The sequence below is a fragment of the Homo sapiens genome, chromosome 9 (genome assembly GCF_000001405.40).
Source record: "Homo sapiens chromosome 9, GRCh38.p14 Primary Assembly".
NCBI classification, from domain to species: Eukaryota; Metazoa; Chordata; class Mammalia; order Primates; family Hominidae; genus Homo; species Homo sapiens.
In genome coordinates, this window is record NC_000009.12 from 14298826 (window position 1) to 14317479 (window position 18654).

The window sequence follows — 18654 nt, forward strand, 5'->3', positions numbered from 1 at the left end:
TAAGTTACAGCGCAAATGAATTGTTTTAACACATCAGCTTTGGTCAATTAAACCTAACAAGGCAAGTTGCATCAGGTAGCAGGGTTCCTGACACCAAGGCCAGAAGCTGAGACCGACCTCATAAAACAAGGCTTTTAACATAGCATAGCAAATTTAAGGTAATCCAACCAGAAACTGCAGATGTCAGAATAATAAAATACAAGTTGTCCTACGAAGGAACATTTTTTACACTTCAGAATTCACTAATAGAGGGGTATAGACTTCATATTGACGTGTCATTAGCATAGGCATAAATGTAATCCACCACTCACATGAATTACAGAATATACCCTACTTCAAATAACTTTTTCCTAATATCTGTGCTCATGATTAGATTTTTTGTCCCAAGCTCTACCATTCCGTTAGCACCAATACATTTATCCATGTATTTTTTTCAAAATGAGTATGAAAAATCAGGTTTTTAAAAAAACAGTTCATCTTCATTCAGCATGAGACTATATATGTGTCGCTTAATATTAATGGATGCTTGTTAAATGCTTTTATGTAGTTTTATGAGAGATGTGTACTTCAAAATTCAATGAATACTATTAAGTTGACTATTTTGAGAAATAGACTATTTTGAATGGAGTTGAAGCTAACTAAAATTTTAAAACTGCATGTATTTAACATGAAATAATTCTTTTCTTAAAGGTAATTCTTATTTTATTTCGCACTTGTTTAAACAAATTCCATTTTCAACTGGTTTATGCTTCATCAATAACTTACTACATGTTCTGAACTGCCTTAAAATAGGATTCTGAAAATACACAACCTCCAGGCAACTTTTGATAGTAAAATTACTTCATCCATCACCCCATATTTTTAATTATATAGTCCTTGTTCAGAGATCTTTAATTTGTCAGTGATTCATCAGTGCTGTCCTGTTTAAGCTATCATCATAAACAGAATATGTGTATCTAAGTGTTTTACTATAAACAATATAGTTATGCATGTAATCATCTGCTTTCCCATTTTAGAACAATTAAATTTTGAAGGTTTTTTAAAAATGTGTGGCTTTCAATTCAGCCTCAAGGACTTTCCACCTCACTTGTTAGCCATTTCTTCCAATTTTCTGAATAATATAACAACCAAAAAGCCCAACCATTCAAGTCCTATTAGTCTCACTCTAACGTTCAATCTAATACAAGCTAATCCCACAGACTCACTCCTTACTACAACGCACTTAGTTTTCACAAGTTCTCTGCAGTTTGATGATTTATTCTCTATGCCAAATTCTAACAACTAAATTCAGTTAAATTAACCGCATCACAAAACTGGAGTTCAAGGTCCCAAGAATTTACTTTAAAATGAGACAACATACCACGTTGCCACAGAAAAGTGAGCATGATCAGAAGGAAGCGTCTCTTCTTGCTATGCTTGGCACTGGGGCATGCAGCCGTAATAACTCAAGTTTCCGATCGCATAACCACTAGTCCTTGAGATTTCTAAAATTATTCCTCCTTCACAAGGATGGAGGGAAAAAGGCTGGAAAATTTGCTTTGAACATTATGTTGGCTAATCATTTGCTCCGCCATAGCACATACATAGGAAAACCCCTTAAGTGCCGCAAGTTCTACTTTCATCAACTTCAAACTGGAAAATGCTATTCTTTCATAAACCAAAGAGAAACATTTACCCAGAAGCTAGTTTCAGAGCCAGGGATCGCCTTTGCCCATAATTTTCAGGTATTTAATAATTGACCATTTTAATGAGTGTTTCATGTGCTCTTTGCACTCTTTGCAAACTTGGAGCTTCAAACAAAGCAATAACTACTTCTTTGATTATAAGTCCATTATCATGTAAGCCACCATGATAACAGAAATGAAAACTAACTTATCTCAATTTTTAAGAAATCCTGTGAATTCTGACATAACCTTCCGTTGGGTCCCTCTCTCTTCAGGTGCTGAAATTCTAACTGGCCAGCAGTGATGGCAAGAGCGCTAGTGTCAGAAAGCAAACGGTTTTATATAGCCTACCAGTCTAGTTTTTCAGTTTAATCTGGCTGAGTGAGAGCTTATGAGGAGAAAGACCTTGCTATATTGGGTATCTTGGATTGCTGTTTCAAATTTTAAGTGCCAAATTCAAAAGCAAAAAGTTAATGGAGGATTACAACTTTAACTTCCTTATGACAGCTTCTTCCTAAATTCCAAATTTAGGGAAAAACAAGTAAGTAAATGAAAAATCCTACCAAATCTATTACGAATCTTCATGTTTGGAAGTGCTTCTTAGGTACCACCTTAGAAAACAGTAACTTTAAAGAACTAAAGCTGTAGCAATAGATGGCCTCTCTCAATGGCTCCTACCCAGCTTTAAGTCTCCAGGCACAGGCACTATAACTGTGCCTATCAGGAAGGCATTCTTCAGGAGACCTGACCGTCACTCCTGTCACTGCAATGCACAGTCCTCTCCAATTACCACGATTCTCGAACAATGCATATTATTTTGGTTCTTACAAATATGGAGATATTTGGAATTATTTTACCACACAAGAGACATTGTGCACTAAATCTGTAAATCCAAATACATAATCTAACTATTTTTCATTACAAAATTTGTAGTGCTGTATATACAGGGTGGGGGGAAGGATGCCTAATGCTGTCAGTAGAATATTTTACCAACCTTTGCTGCCTCCAGAAAGTGGGGCACTATATATTTTTAAATATTTGAAAATCATAATTGATGTAACAAATAAGCGTCCCATCCCTCCCTCCCTCTCTCCTTCTCTCCCCCCACCCTTCCCTTTGAAAAATGAGATCATATTAACTGCAATGCAAGAGCTTAGTTTGCCATATCGGAACACAGATGCCAAGCTTCCCCAGCTGGCAACTGGGGCCTCAGAGTTTAACTCTTAAATTGTCTGTTAAAGCTATCTTGTGGCAGAGACCTCATGGCATAGAGGGTGAACTTCTGGTGGGAGACTGTGTTTTCTTATCAGTGAGAAAATTGCTAAGTATCTTATCTCACAATATATGTTCCCACAAAGGTCTCATTAAGCCTAGGAGCAAGACATGCCAATAAGAGCCCTTCTTTATCTTGTGAATTGTGTATGAGCCAGAATGCAAACAAATGTGCACTAGAGTTCACAAGTTCAGTCAAGGACAAGTTGCTAGATGGGAAAACTTAACAGTGCTCCCCTAAATCAAACATGCATACCAAGTATTTCTCCTACACACAAACTCTTATGTTCCCAGAGCATTTCACAGTGCAGACACACCAAATCATCCTAGAGAGCAGCCTCATTTTAATCAATTATGAAAGCTTATTTTTTCCCATAATGGGAAATACCTGCAGATGAAGTGAAATCTATTAAAATGTTAAAATACACTGCCAACTTGCAAACAATTATCTACTTAAGCTTTTCATAAAGAAATAATTGTTACCCAAAAGGATTCTGAAATTCAGTAACTGTAGGAAGAAAATAATTCTTAGCATTTGCTTCCTCACTAATGATATGTGACAACCAGGAAGGCTTCTATTTCAAAAACAGTAATAATGATTATGACTTCCCCTGTAAATAAGTCACATTTTTCACAACTTCAAAATGTACTTCAATTATTATAACATTTAACAATAAAGCAACAAAAGTGGCCACCCAACAAGAGATCATAATTTTAAGGGTTCAACAAGGCTAAAGGAAACTACTTTTTCAGGATAGCAATGAGGTTTCTGGGCTCTCTTTAACACTCCAAAACATGTTTAATAAGAGTGCAAAGTACAGTCCAAAAATCAGTTAGGGTGACTCATTTTAAACTCTAATCTGTTACATACACGACAACAGTTGCTATCTCTTGAGATCTTTAAATGTCTTGGTGTGTTGTGACCTCTCTCTTCAAAACGCTTTCCTGCCTCAGAGAAAGGCCAATCCCACTCCCGCCCCCCGACTCCCACCACCACCACCACCCCCTTCCTTTTTTCCCCTTCAGACAGGACACAGTCTGGCAACTCAAGGCCTCCCATAGGCCAGACTTCCTTCTGTGCAGCCCTTTGGGTAGAACTGCTAATCCTTCTTATTAATTAACGAGATAACGGTGGTTAACTGAAAAGCAATATTAACGCTAACTATCTAGGAAACTTTAACCAAAATTATTTTAGGCTTTTGGTTGATTTTCCCAGTGTACAAAATTGTGCACTGAGAATTTCGTAACAGTGTGGTGCAGAATCGAGAAATTCCAGAATGACTGATTTTACCTCAGACCTTAACGCATAGGTCTCCTCTTTAAAGTTTTCTCTCTCTCTTTTTAAACATGTATTCTGTTACACATTTCTAACTAGAGAGGAAAACTGAAGTCCTCTCAAAATGTTACTATAAAATTTGCAAGAGTGGCAAGTGAGGGAACTAGAAATTGCATAGCAAATAAGCAGTGATGTGACTGAGAGCAACAGTCAGTCATAATGAATGCATCACATATCATTACGTTAGGTTTGTCCTCCACACACTTGTCATAGCACACCCTGCATCCTATAGGACACTTACATCCCAGGAAGCTGTGCTGTGCAAGGCTTGCCTGGTTTTTGTTTGGTTTTGTTTTTGCTTTGCTTTCATGAATGCAGTAACAAAGGCAATATGGGGAATAGGTAACACCTGCCCAAGAATCATTGGACGTCTTTAATATCTTTGGGAAAATAGATACCATTTAGAGCTATTTTTTCTTTAATCTGTCCCAGTTTTTTTAGACAAAACCTAAAAAAAGGAAGAGTTTTATATTAGCTAAGATTTGCTGCAGCAAACAAGCAAGCAGCTTTCATTCAGGGATTGTCAAAAACTTTCCAGTGTGCCCACTGCAATGCGGATGCCAACCAACGAATCAAAGGCATTCAGCAACTAGACAAAGAGGGTCTGATGCCAACCTCGGTGCCACTGGCAACCATTATTGGCATCAAACACAGTGTCTGCCTTTTTTTTCCCCCTCGCCTGGCACTTCACAAACAAAATGGCGGTTCTTGTAGCAACGAAACAGCCGAAGCGCAGCCCTCTGAATCAATAACATCAAATGACTTTATGGATTTAAACGCAGTTACTCCCAAATGATGTGTACATTTTAGGTGAAGTGCAGGGAGACATTTAATTTTATAAACAACTATATTGAACATCAGCCTTTGCTAATATAAGGAAATAGCAAAATGGACTGAATTGCGGTCAACCAGACTACATGCATAGTAGCCGAATAACAAAGAGATTTAGCTTTAAATAAAATACTGCCTCATGGCCACGTGATGCAAAAGTCTAATGAACTATATATCAAAAATGATTTCAAAAAGCATAAATTTTTTCCCAAACCATATCAGATGCAGATGTAGCACTATAGCTTGTGTCAAAGCTCTGGTAACTCTTCCCACATTTCAGAAAGATGAGGCTGCTGGGCATGAAGAAGGAAAAAAAGTGTGGGTTGAACCAAAAGAGAAAGAGGGAAAAAAGAAAAGCATAGGAAGTTGGTCAACAATGAAACTTTAGTACATGTTGGTCTTTATTTCGTCTTCCAGAAGAGATGCAGTGTGTGATCTTGTATAAATAACCAAGAGGACTATTGACATTTCTAGATCTGGAAATTGTCAATATATTGTAACATCACTCCACACTGCAATGCGGATGCCAACTAACAAATCACAGGCATCCTGAGCTAAACAAAGAGGGTCTGATGCCAATCCTGGTGCCAGTGGCAACCATCTTTGGCATTCTCTCTGTTCTTTCTCATGTTTTTCTCCCAGTCATTTAGAAGTGGGGAGAGAGAAAAAGGGGGAAACGTAATTTTGTTGCTCTTTCTGCTGCAAACATTACATTTCTCTTTTCTGATTTTTCTTTCGTGTTTTCCTTTATACTTCTTTTCCTGATTTATAAAACAGACTTAGGTGAGTTATCATGTACTTAGAAGACAAATAAAAAGTCATCACTCGCGATATGCAGCCCTCTAACTGACCGGAGAATTATCTTTTAAAATCTGCCTTCTTTAATCAATTGCACTATAAAATGACATAATTAACCTACACTTGACAAAGAAGAATATATAAATTTTGAAAAGGGGAAAACACAAAAGCATCCTGACGTGAGTTTTTCAAAGGAAGAACCAACAGATGTTAAGAGAAGATGATGCACTGGCAGGTAGCAGAGGATACAAGTTATATACACAAGATAAAATAATGAAAAGTTCTTACAATAGAGATTGTTGAACCAACAACAAAATCAATGTTTTATCTAAAACCATGGTCTCTTAAGAGTTGCTTAAAACTTTATAGTTATCATGACCAGTGGTGCAACATGGAAGGCATTTATGCGTTTTTTTTCTTTTTTCAATCTATCTCTACAAATCTTTATTGTCAGTTCATCAAAACTAAGAGAGCTGGCTGCCTTCCCCAGGAGTAAATGTGCATGCAGGCAGGCACACCTCAAAACCTAGCCTTCAAGCAACTTAAAATGTGAGCAGTAGTGAAGTGGTTGCAAATCTTCCCTCCCTGCACTAAAAAGTTACATGACCCACTTTTTGAAACTTTACTTCCATCCTTGACTTTCACAACACAGTTACAACACATTTATAGTCAATCCAACACATATATACAGCCCACCTTAAAGTGTCACCTCCTAGACATCTGTCAATCAAATAAGTGTCATGTGTTACTGAGTTTTATTTTAGGACACATGGGACAAAAATATTATTTTCCCCAAACCATCATTATTTGGACTGTAATTCTTAAATGCATGGAAATATTAAATGCAATGTTTCATTTTTTCAGGAAAAGGTAATATTTCTAAAAGTGCAATGTCCAACACCATTATTTAAAATCAGACTAAAAATTCTAAAATGACACTTAAGCCTATCTCCAAAGCTACAAGAAAATCAAGACAAAAAGCACATAGTGAGGGCCTAGAATTCAGAGTCAAAAAAGTAATTTTGATTTTTTTGAATAATAAAGCTCATAGCAGTTTATTAAGTCCCACATTTATATAACAAACCTCAGGTAACAGTCTGTCACCTGGCTATCTGCAGGCCATTTTTCCTCCCACCAGGCCAAGTTTGGAAATGACCTACCATCTGTGACAGCTCAAACTTCAGTCTACTTTTGGTATGCGGCTTTGTAAAATGATTGTTTTACTATGGATTGTTGGTAATGCAAGGACATCTATATCTTGATGCATTTATTTGAAGAAAAGAAATTCTTACCTACTTAAGGAAAATATATTAAGAAAAATAAAAATAATAAACATTTCATTAACTCAAATATTCAGTAATAACATCATCTTTTTTAATTATTTAGGTAAAATGTATACCATTCTCCTTCTCAGGTATTTTAAATAATAGGTATGGTATGCAGTTTCTGTATTCTTTTTAAGATTTATCTTAAACCAGTGTAACCAGTCCACTTTCTGTTTTTTGTTCTGTAAGCAGCGCTGCGACTTTCCTCCTCGGTAAGTTTTATGAATTTACATACAAGTAAACTAACATTATTAAGTGTTCCCAAGTAACTCTGGGAACATACTATAAATAATTTAAATAATAACTCAATTCCATTTAATCGACAGTGAATATTGCACAATCAAAAGTGATGATAGAAATATTAAAATTAAGTAAATCTAGGTCTACGTAAGATATACTTTTGATATTATCTATCTTAAGCATTTTGTAATAGTAAACATTAGTTCTATTTTCAGTGCGATACCACTAAGTTCATAAACAAAGTCCCTCTACCTCATTAATTAATAAGGTTAATACAAAAATTATCTAGGATGGTTTGGCTATTCATAAATAAAGTTATATTTTCAAATCAGGAAAAGATTACTAGATTAGATGCAAAAATGTAGCCTACGACAGAAAGTATAGTGTAATGAACTATATTTGTTAGACTACCCTATGTCTTTGAAAAACAGTATTATTTTAAAGATACTTGAAAACGCACCTCTTTGTGGTCTTTCTTAAATATCCAAGCCTATCCAGGTACGAAAGCTCTGTGTCTATTTACATGGCTCGCACATGGCAGCGGACATGTGAGTGAAAGCGGACACCCTACTATACCCAGAGAGGGTGGAGGATATCTAGGGGCCTTGAGGACCATCTAACTCAAGCCAGATACTCTGTCTACGGAGATTTGTAGGCGGTGTTTGCCGTGCTAGAAAAAAGAACAATCTGCTCCTACCTTGCTCCTGCACGTAGTATGCCAAAAACAAATCAAGCTCCTTAACTGATACTGTGATATGATGTGGCTGGACACAAAGTGCTGGGTTTGTGCAATGTGGGGATTTCATGAGCCGCTCTCCATCGGTACTTTCCAAGGGGATGCCTTTGAACAGGATCACCATGACTAGATCCAGACGCCAGACTTTGTCTGCCTGTCGCAGGCAGTCGATTCTCCTAATCTTACCCTTCTGGTCGGGATTGGATAAGACACAGCACGGGTGCTTCTTGCCAGTCACGGTGAGCACAAAGTCCTCTCGATACTCCTGGCGAATATCTTTGCGCAGTTTGGCAAGGAGCCTGGATGCCCACTTCTGTTTGATTTCAGGCTTTTCACTGAGAAGCTCATCTTTGACTGCTCTTTCTTCATCCTTTGACATTCGCTTCTCATGCTTTTTAAAGTACTTGCGTTTTCGAGCCTGCAGGTTGAACCAAGTATAGGCAATTGCACGGACATGTGGAAGAAGTGCCTCGATGAATGGGTGAAATTCATCCTGTGGAAGACAGAGGGGTGAGGAAAAGATGTGCATAGTCAGTTTAATTTTAAAAGCTCAAAAAATAAGAAAAGAAGACCACAACCCGTTTCCAATTCAGTACAAAAAGTTATACATGAAAATAACATTCCTTTCTTATTTAAAATTATCAAAATAACAGGACAAGAAGAAAGTAAAGTATGCCCAGCTGTCCCCTTTCCACCAAAATTCACAGGTCAATTCTCCCTCCTATAAAGGAAATAAGGTTTATATTTTGTATTACACTCTGGCCCCATCCCCCTTGTTTCCACCCCAATGCCATGCATTCTACATTCTTTAAAATATAGGCAACTAACTAAGGTGCTTGGCACCTAATATAGTATTTCAATATTTGATTGACCAACTAACACTATGCAGTACCATTTTACAAAGAACACAGTGAGATTTTTTTTTTTTAATCGGAGTAGAGCTGTTCAGAAGGCAGGAGCGATGCCACAGTTCATTTCTCTTCTCTGTGGCACAGAAACACAAAGCATATAGATGCTCAGTGTAATGCCACACAGTTCCCGCTTTTGGAGCATGCTCTCAGCAAGAGGCTGCTGGTGGCACAAAGAGCATGCGCCATTAAACTTGATCCATTTTCTTATCAAACGTCCAACATTCCAACACTGAAACAGCACCATTCCAAAAGTGGTAACTAGAGAAACCGGTATACAGTGAGGGAAAGTGGGCAAAGGACACAGCTCGTCGTATCAGTGTCCTGAACAGAAGGTTTCCATACTTTGAGCAGTGCATTCTCTCCCCACACTACCAACGCCAGCTCCCAACACACACACACACACACTTGCACTCTCCTGCTTTCTCACACACACTCTTGCATTTTTAAATAGAAGTTTTCAAACTGGAAAACAAAAATTACATGAATGTTCTTCCATCAGCTTCCCTATAGAATATGCAGCCCCACAGAGTCCGTTAATTTGTTCACCGATCACATGAGTATAGCAATTATTCTAAACCTCTTAAAAATCAATCTGAGGTGAACAATGAAAAATGGCAACTTGGCACCAACTTTACATTCTTTGTGTCTCTGCATGCTGTGGTGGGGTGACACTGCTGGTCAGTTACTGCTTTTGTGGAATCTATACAATTCATTTGCCATGTAGATGAATTATCAGTTAGAACTGTGGGTGCATATATGCATGTGCATGTGAATTTGCAGATACATAGATTATAGAGTACCAATCTTTTGAATTAAGTAGTTTACCTTTAGGCTCCTGCATTTTTCCTGCCTGTTTCATCCAAGCCCTTTTTTTAAGGGAGGGGATCAGTGAGGAATGGTGGATAATCTTTACCTACAGATATTTCAAGTTACTTCCCAGTGCAGTCAGTTTCGTTACTTCCTGATTTAGGTAAAACCTGTCTTATAAGCTTAGGCCTATTACTGTTCAAAGAGAAAGAGCTTAACGTCCTGTACATGCACACCGCATGTACGCAATAAGCCAAGATTTGAAGCAAATGAGAACTTCCACCACCACCACTTTTCTGATCATATTGACTATACTGTCAGCCCAACGACAAAATAACTCTCTGATTGTATCCCAAGTTAGAATTTACATACTCATGTTAATCACCCTGAACTACGTGGAATAAATTCTATTTAACAGCAGACTGACTAATTAATTCCATTAGGTAAATATGATGAAAGTACAACTAATGACTCTTTAACAAAGAAGGTGTCAAAAATCCAATATAGATATGAATACATTTTGAAGAAGAAATTCGAAGTTTTAATGCTACAGACTGCAACATGTTAGCTGTTTGCACTTCAGATATGGAAGGAGTACATGTCCCATCCAATCAATAATGTAGTTATCAAGTGTTCTAACATTGCTGTAAGTGTTCCTTCACCAGAATAAGTATGAATCAAAATTTTATAACAATACAGAATGCTGATGATTACATCACAGCATGAGGCATACCCAAATGCCATAGAGGAAATCATTAAACCGATCAGTAGTTTCCAGCAGAGATTTGAACAATTCAGTTACTATGCGAGCACATTAAACTAGGCCATGGAAAGAGTTAAACCACAATCTGTTCTTTGTGTGGGAAGGCAGCCCTGCTCACAGCAACCACATCCCATGATAAGACCTCCCTATCTCCATACACTTTCTGATGCCATGCTTTTAGCTTTCACTGTAACTACAAAAACTTTGTTTATCCCCTTTAGGAATATATGCAAAAGGAAAGCCTGCTCAAGGAAATGTGGACTTAAATGTGCTTTGGAAACTCACTTCCTATAATCTTTTACTACGATTTATTGATATGACTAAAAAACACACATATATGCACTCACAAAACTAAAACCTTGAGAATGTAAAGAGCACATGAGGTGGAGTGGGTGGGCTCTGTCTCACTCATTTTACCCTTGCCATGCTTTTTAAAATGCAATATTATTTTATAAATATTAAGCCATGTGGTAACACGTAAGTACTTACACCTTAAGTACTATGTTCAGTGACATTTCATTTTCTTATAAAGACATCAAACACAGTTTTGATTAAATTTGAGTTTCAATATTTGATTATAAATATAATCTATCACACAAGAAAGCTCAAAATTTTAATGAGTTATTTTAAACAACCAAAATTCAAATTTGAAGGTTGAATTTGAAAATTCTTAGCAAATGCACACAGTTTTTAAACGTTCCTTTGACTTTGCTGTCAATGCTGCCAATATTGTTTTAAAACATGCTCTTTTTTTTGAGAAATAAAAGTAGCAAACTTTCTCAGGCTGCCAGTTTGCCTTATTGATATCGTTCAGGGTTTCACTATTATGTGAATTCAAGTGAAGCACTTATTTGACAAGGGGACATATCCTCCAAAAATGACTGTAAATTGAGGTTTGCTGTAAGTCGCATATATTTCTGTATTAACATGCCTAAATGTCATCTCCCAAGTGTGACTGTTTCCTAATGCTGAGTAACACTAGAGTCTTAAAGATTATGAGTGACATGAATATGGAACATAATAACTGTCCTGATACAAAAATATTTTTTTAAAAGGTGATTAAGGTTTTCAAATATCCTAACTAGTAGTGGATTATTACAATAGCATTAAGCAATCATAAATTCTTTAAAAAAAGCAAAACATATAAGTGATTTAAAACCAAACAACTGTATACAAAGGTAATAGGCAACTTTGCTCTTTCAGAATTTTTAGTAAAATGCATTGATGTTCAGTAATTCTCTTTTAAAACTTCCTTTAGTTGAACTAAATTGACAAAGTAAATAACAAAGTTACCAATTTCAGATATAAAAATAAAGAGTCTTAATTCCACTAGGCATATTTATTTTTCTTCCGTTTCCATGAAAGGGATGGATAATTTAGACCAACATAGAGGTAGAAGAGTAAATACTAGGTGCTCTTGGCGCATTGCTATATAACAACAAATCATGCAAAAAATGTACCTAAAGAACTTAAAAGCAACGAAAGAAAAATATATTTAATGCCATCATGCCAATTGAAAGTTATATTATTAATGGTTTACATTATTTTTAAACATATATTAAATCATATGATAGTTCTTAATTTTTCCTTTATATCTGATTTATACTGGTGTATAAATATTGGTTATTGATATGCTGATTTTGTAGCATACTATTTTGCTAAACATAACATTTAATGGTAGGTCCTTTTAAATTAAGATTTTTTTTCTAAAACCTAGATACCTTATTGCAACAATTGAGATACTTTTAAAAGTTTATAACCAATTAAGAATGATACTCTATTTTGCAATTTACATGTCCTGAGACATGTTTTTCTACAGCTACTAGGCTCTTGTGATACAAAACTACTGATCTGATACAAAAGTGACACTATTAATGTGGCCTCACTTTTATAACACCTATATTACCTGCAAAGTCACATGGAGCTTAGTGAAGTGAAAATTCTTAAGCTGAAATTCCTTCCCTGGTGTAGGCCTTGTTTTAATACATAAGCCTAGATTTATATTATTAAAATAGTAGAGAATATTAGTCATCACAAGTTATTGTTGTTAAGTGTGTATCTCTGAATACTAATGTGATAGCTGAATGATTATGCTGTATATGATCCCAACATTCCCTGTCTCAATGCTGCAATATTATCTTTAACTTACACAAATTAAGATAAAACTAGTGACTTTTCAATACATATTTGGAGGATACTAAAAATGCAATGTAATTGCTAGCAATGTTTCTGAAAAGCTGATGTTAGAAATATAGAGAAATGCACAATTATTCAATCTTTTACAGGTGAGAATAAGTGATGCTATACTCTGTAAGTGAAAATCTTGCTTTGATTTGTTTTATTTGATCACGGTGTAAAAATAATATCAAGTTAACACAGCTTATCAGAAAGAGAAAAATATATCCAGCCGATGGGTAATATTAATGGTAACTTTTACAAGTAAAGGCAATTCGTTATACCTGAAACAGTTTCATCATATTTATTGGCTATTATCATTCATGGCTTTTAAAATACAAATAGCTCAGCAACTCATTTTTCCAGTTTTGTTAAATTAAAGTGCGTGTTTACTTGCTGAAAATAGCCATATCTAAGTTAATCATACTCAGATGCCAAACAAAATATAAACAATAAAAAATGTGTCAGCCAAAAAGCTACAGGACTGTATCCAATCACTGAATAAGCCTTATCATTGTTTTCATCTTCATTCACAATTTATGAATGCCTCAGTCCTTTTGAATCACAATGGCTTCTAATTGTCATACAATTGAAATCTTAATTATTTGTCCATTATAAAAATGCATCATCGTGATATTAGATGTTTTTAAAATTTTAACACGCCCAAGACTGGCTGACACTTCTTTATATGACTAGTTTTCATGGCAATGTCAAAGAAAATAGTTATCAATTACCAATGGTGACACATCTTCCGAAAAGCTGAAATAAGCTGCCCCATACCTTTAGAGGTTTAAAATACTGCCTCAAATAACAGTTCTGGGCTAAGATATTTTAGTTACTTTGTCAGTTGTTAGTTCCCTGGGCAGCGATGAAAACTGCCCCCAGGTAAGTCTGTTGGGTCTCGCCGCTTTTCTATTTGACCGTCTGGCTTAAAGTGATACAAATCGTGTTTCTAAAAAGTATAAAACCAGTGTTTTATTTCATAACATTATTCCTAAGGTCTTAGGACAATTCTCAAAGTCGAAAAAAATGACCTTACTTCTACCAGCATTACTTAAAATGCCTTACGAGCTACGCCCAAATATCGTCAAATGAACAGGTTTCCACAAAAGGAACACGTTCTAAAAACTCCTTAACAATCACCAAGACCAACTAACTCGTGTCAACGTAAATACTGCCTTTGTGGTGCGGTCACTAGAAACCCCAAAGTGCAGCAGGTCACTATGGACCAGGGTTTCAGATCCCCAAATAAAGCAAAGGAATGGGTCCCCGGACCACAACCTCCGACTCGATTCGTCGCCCGCCCACCGCCTGCAGCGCAGTCCAGCGGCGCCCACACAGACTCGTGCTACAGTCCCCTCGCCCAAGTTCACTGGCTGTTTTTAAAAGCTTAGTCCCCCGTAAAGTCCTCCAAAGCCCGAGTCCACCTCAACGCGCGAGCTGCTGAGAGGGGCTACGGGCACCCCGGGCGGGGATGCCGCACCACAACGGGCACTTGAGGGGCCGCACGGGGCCTCGCACTTACAGGTCCCGGCCCTGCCCACCCCCCGGCGGCCTTGCCCGGCCCAGCGCCCGCGCTCCGTGCCCAGGGCGCGGGGCTGGGCGCTCGCAGTGGCCGTGGCGAGGGGCCGCTCCCGGCTCCCACGCCGCCCCGCGACGCCCGCTGCAACTCCGGGCCACTTCTCCAAGGGACGGGGATGTGCGGAGGTTAACTCAAGCCGCTAATTGTCCGCAACAAAACAAAACAAAGGCATTTCGGGCCAGAGAGAAAGCTCGAGAAAGCGACCGAGACATGTACCTGAGTGAGACAGATGGGAGAATACATCATGACTTCGCCTTAAAACGCACTTTCCGGGAGATGCCCAAGAAAATCTTCGAGAAGCAAGAATTTCATCTATTCATTTTACAGTCATCTGAGCCCCGCGATGCGATCAATCAGGACGGGGCTCTGCGCTGGATCACCGCAACTTCACAACAAACCCAGTCCTCCTTAAATAGCCAAAGATTCAAGTTCACTCGGCGTGCTAGATTTCCAGGGGTGAAATCCAATCTACACTTTTAACCCTCTTGCAGTCCGAGCGCGCTGGCCGTGCTTGCCGAGGCCGCCGCCGCCGCCGGTGTTGGCTGCTTTTCGCCTGGGTTTGGGGATTTGTTTTCTATTTTGCAGTTGTTGTTGTTGTTGGGGTGTAGGGGGTGCGCGAAGGTTCGGTGTGGGTTGGATTGGGGTGGTGGTTGGTGGTAAAATGCTTTTTCAAAAAAGGCGGGGAGGGGGGCGCGGGAGGGCGCAGGAGGGCGAGCGGGCGGGCGGGAGGGAGAGCGGGGAGAATGTGTCACCGCGCTGGGAAAGTTCAAGGTTACAGCCCCAAGCACTGCGGCAGGATCCCGGAGTGGTGATCGCAGGCGAAACTTTGCCGCGAGCCGACCATGTGTGTGCGCGAGGGGCAGCGTGAGCGAGTGCGCGCGGGTGGCGGGGCGCGCGCGGGAGAGGGCCGGGGTGGGGGCGGGGTGGGATGGGGGAGAAGGGAGAGGCCGGGGTGAGGGAGGGGGCGCGAGCGCTGATCTCTGGGGCGGAAGAGGCTCGCGGCGCGTGGTCCCCGGCAGCAGCAGCCGCCGCCGCCCGCGCCGGGTCTTCGGCGCCCGGCCGCCCGCCCGCCCGCCTCGCCCCGCGTCTGACCCGGCCGAGCGTGGAGGCTGCTGTTGCCGCCGCTGCCCAGAGCCCAGGGGTATCAAAACGATCTCCTGAAAAATTCCAAACGATAAATCCCGCTCTCCCGCTCGGCTCCAAACTCCTCTCTTTTCTGCTCTAGGCTCTTTTTTTTCCCTCCCTCTCTTGCTTTCTTTCGTTGCAAAACTTGGAAGTTGAAAAATTCACCGGTTCCACCCTCTGGACCCCGCTCGAGCTCTCTCCAAATCAGACTTAAGGATTGTTTTATTATTTAATTACACAATCATCGCTTTACTCCTCCTCCTGCAAACGCGCATTCCTTTTGCACCAGCCTCTCCACACCCCCCGCCCCCCCACCTTCCTCCTCCTCCTCCTTCTCCTTCTCTCCCCCCACCTCTCCCTCATTTGTTAAAGGTATCCTACCGGTGCTACAGAACCATGACTTTTTTTTTTTTTCCAAAATAGCTCTTCTTTCCGCTGCCCTCCCCACACCAGCACACACATACACACCCCCGAAAACCCGCCCTGGAAGAGGTATTTCGGTGCTCGCTGCGGACTCTTTTAAGCCGCGGGAACATCCGAGTGGGAGAAGCACCGAAACCGTCTGAGCCCGAGAAAGGAACGAGTGGAAAATTCCCTCACACCCAGGCCGCCCCCAGGCCGGGGCTGGGGCGCGGACACTCGCACCCGGGGCGGGCTCAGTCCGCGGAGCCTGCGGCTGCCGGGAAAAGGGGGAGGCCGAGCAGGCGGGGACCTGAGCGAACTTGGGCTCAAGTAGTTGGGGCGCGCCGGCGTGGACCAGGGGGGTGCGGCGCCCAGCCCCCGACGGCCCCGCCCGGAGCCCGGGTTCGCGGATAGGGAGGGGGTGCGGGTTCGTCCCGGGTCTGCCCACCAGGGGCCCGCACCCGAGGCAGTCGCGGCGCGCGGCGCTTCGCCGCGGTTTGCCGCCCTCCCCGGGGGTGCCCCGTGCACGTGGCCTCGCTCTGAGCGGGAGGACCGGGCCGAGCCGCCGCCGCCGCCTCTTGCTCCCTCCACCTCCTCCCCGCGCCCGGCTTCGCTCTCCTCCTCCTCCTCCTGCAGCCCCGCTGGCTGGCTCCCAATCCCCACCCCCCGGGGCCCGGGGCGCCGGCGGAAAGCGTCTCCCTACCCGCCCGGGTGCAGGCGGGGCGGGGCCGCGGCGCGCCCGGGGCTGCGGGGCGGGCCGGCGGGCGCGCGCGCGCCGCTGCAGCCCTCCAGAGGCTGCGGGCCCTGAGCCGCTCGGCGCCCGCGCCGGCTCCCCACCGCGGCGCTGCCCCGCCCCCACCCCGTCGCCCGTGCAGGCTCCGAGTGAATGAACTTGATTCCAGGGATTTTGAAGAAGGCGGTTCGCCTTGCACCCTTTCTGCACCCCCCGCCCACATACACACACCGCCCCCCAAATCCAGTTTTCTGCTTGGGGTGGATGGGGACGAGGGGGAAGCAAAGGCCTCCCAGACAATGGAGGGAGGAAAAGTGAGCGCCTGGGGCTCCGAGTCTACCTAGCTGGGGGATCCGGGGGGCGCTGGGGCTACCGGGTCCTCGCGGGCCCATCCCCAGGGCGGGGCCGCCCCGCTTCCACGGGTACTGCTGGGGCGTTTCGAGGCTCGCCCCCGATTCCCCGGTCCTCTTTCCACCGCTTCCCAGCTCGTGATCTGTCCCCTCAACTTTAGCCCCTCTCACTCCCTCTGGTTTCTGTCCACCGTCCCCTCTTCCCTCCCCCAGCGGACCTGGAGGAACCAGTGACTTTTTCCTTCACCAAGTGGGAGTTATCCACATCAAGCATTTCACAACGACACATCAAGAAAAGTAGGCAGGTTCAAGTCAACCATGAAATGGTCACTTTTTAACCCCGTCCTGTCCTCATTAGGGAAATGCTCAAACACAGTCCGTTTTCAAAGAGCGCTCTTAATGAGGCGAGCTTGCCAAGTTTACCAGCTGCAGCCCCCGTAAACCCAGAGCCCAAAGAAGAAAGGCGCTGGGGGGTGGGGAGTTCGGGAGGCCGGGGACGGGGGCTGCTGGGACTAGGAAGACAGGTAAAGTCGGGGAGATCGCGCGGACCCCTGCGAGTTAACCCTTTCGGCCACACGCCCTGGGAGCGGCCTCCCTGCGGTCCCCGCCCCTGCCCCGGCAAATCCTGGAGTCAGCGTTCTGACAACGTTAATTTCCTTTGTGCGGGTCATTTCTTCTTTTTGAAAAGCTGGGATAAAGTTGGCAGTCTTTATGGATGAAAGAAATGAGGTGACAGGGTTAATCCAAGTAAATACTCATTTCTCTCAGAAATTTTAGGCAACCTCATCTTAGATTAAACACACACAGACACACACACACAGAGAAACCACCAGCACGAAAGCATCACTTTGTATTGCACATTACACTGCATCCCCTTTCTCACCCTCACCAGATTCTGAGGGGAGGGGGTGGGGAAGCTCTACTGATAATACCAGCTTTAACTACTGCAGTTTCCCTTTGAACAAATATTCAATTTAACTGGAGTTAATTTACCATAAAAGACATTCCCCTTGGCAGGAATGCACTAATATCCTTGAACACACCTCTTTGAATGCCTGGACTCTCATAGAAGCCATTATTTCGGGGTCTCTTTAAAAATCGAGCGCCCATCTCTCCTTCTCTCCCTCCCTCCCTTCTTCCCTCCCTCCTCACCACACCACCCCCAGTGAAATCCTGGCACCCAGAGAGCACTCCTTTCAGCCTGAGAGCCCAGAACCAGCCGTTGTCCCCTGGCAAAAAGAGGCCCAGGGCTGAGCCCTGGGCAAGTGTCTCCCGACATCGCTACCCCTCCTCCCTTTATTAGTTTCCCTTTCCCAACAGAAACCATTTCCTTCTGCCACCAAAACTAGGTTGCATCCAAAAGTTTTTCACAAGCTTAAAAAAGAAAAACGAAAAATTGACAAGTATTACACAGAAGAGCCCACAAAAGCTTCAGCAACACCAAGGGCGAAGAAGCAGCGTCAGATCCAGGTAAGACCCCAGAGAAGTGAAGACGTCTGGGGCCTCCCAGGCCCATCACTTAGGGGTTCAAATCTCTTTCAATTGCCCCACGTTTGAGGGTGCTTATGGCTGGTTGCACTTTGATGACCATAGAGGATGCTTGA

At 42.1% G+C, this 18654-nt stretch overlaps 1 protein-coding gene and 1 long non-coding RNA gene across 32 annotated transcripts in view, besides 1 other annotated feature; one reads left to right on the plus strand and one right to left on the minus strand.

The window, feature by feature from the left end:
* Positions 1-18654, minus strand: part of NFIB (nuclear factor I B) — a 450235-nt gene that overhangs the window by 216983 nt on the left and 214598 nt on the right. For 10 of the 31 annotated variants that reach the window (NM_001369468.1, NM_001369462.1, NM_001369459.1 and 7 more), the window contains exon 2: positions 8164-8695. The exons of 1 other annotated variant lie outside the window; for it this stretch is intronic. In NM_001369468.1, coding sequence (NP_001356397.1) covers positions 8164-8695 — 532 coding nt within the window. Of the gene's footprint in view, positions 1-1360; positions 1440-6927; positions 7194-7926; positions 8021-8163; positions 8696-9082; positions 9211-14656; positions 15317-16033; positions 16130-17268; positions 17313-18654 lie in introns of those variants that run through there. 20 more of the 31 variants (NM_001369477.1, NM_001369471.1, NM_001369464.1 and 17 more) reach the window with 11 other exon arrangements.
* Positions 14725-15019: a silencer, noted in NCBI's record as "tiled region #4176; HepG2 Repressive non-DNase unmatched - State 1:Tss, and K562 Repressive DNase matched - State 4:PromP". NCBI's record gives its function as "represses a minimal TATA promoter and a strong SV40 promoter by Sharpr-MPRA in HepG2 and K562 cells {active_cell/tissue: HepG2 | K562}" and the evidence as "EXISTENCE:reporter gene assay evidence [ECO:0000049][PMID:27701403]".
* NFIB-AS1 (NFIB antisense RNA 1) overlaps positions 18262-18654 on the plus strand; it is a 41478-nt gene continuing 41085 nt past the window's right edge. Inside the window, exon 1 of the long non-coding RNA NR_186536.1 lies at positions 18262-18520. This is a non-coding gene — a long non-coding RNA (NFIB antisense RNA 1). The remainder of the gene's footprint in view (positions 18521-18654) is intronic.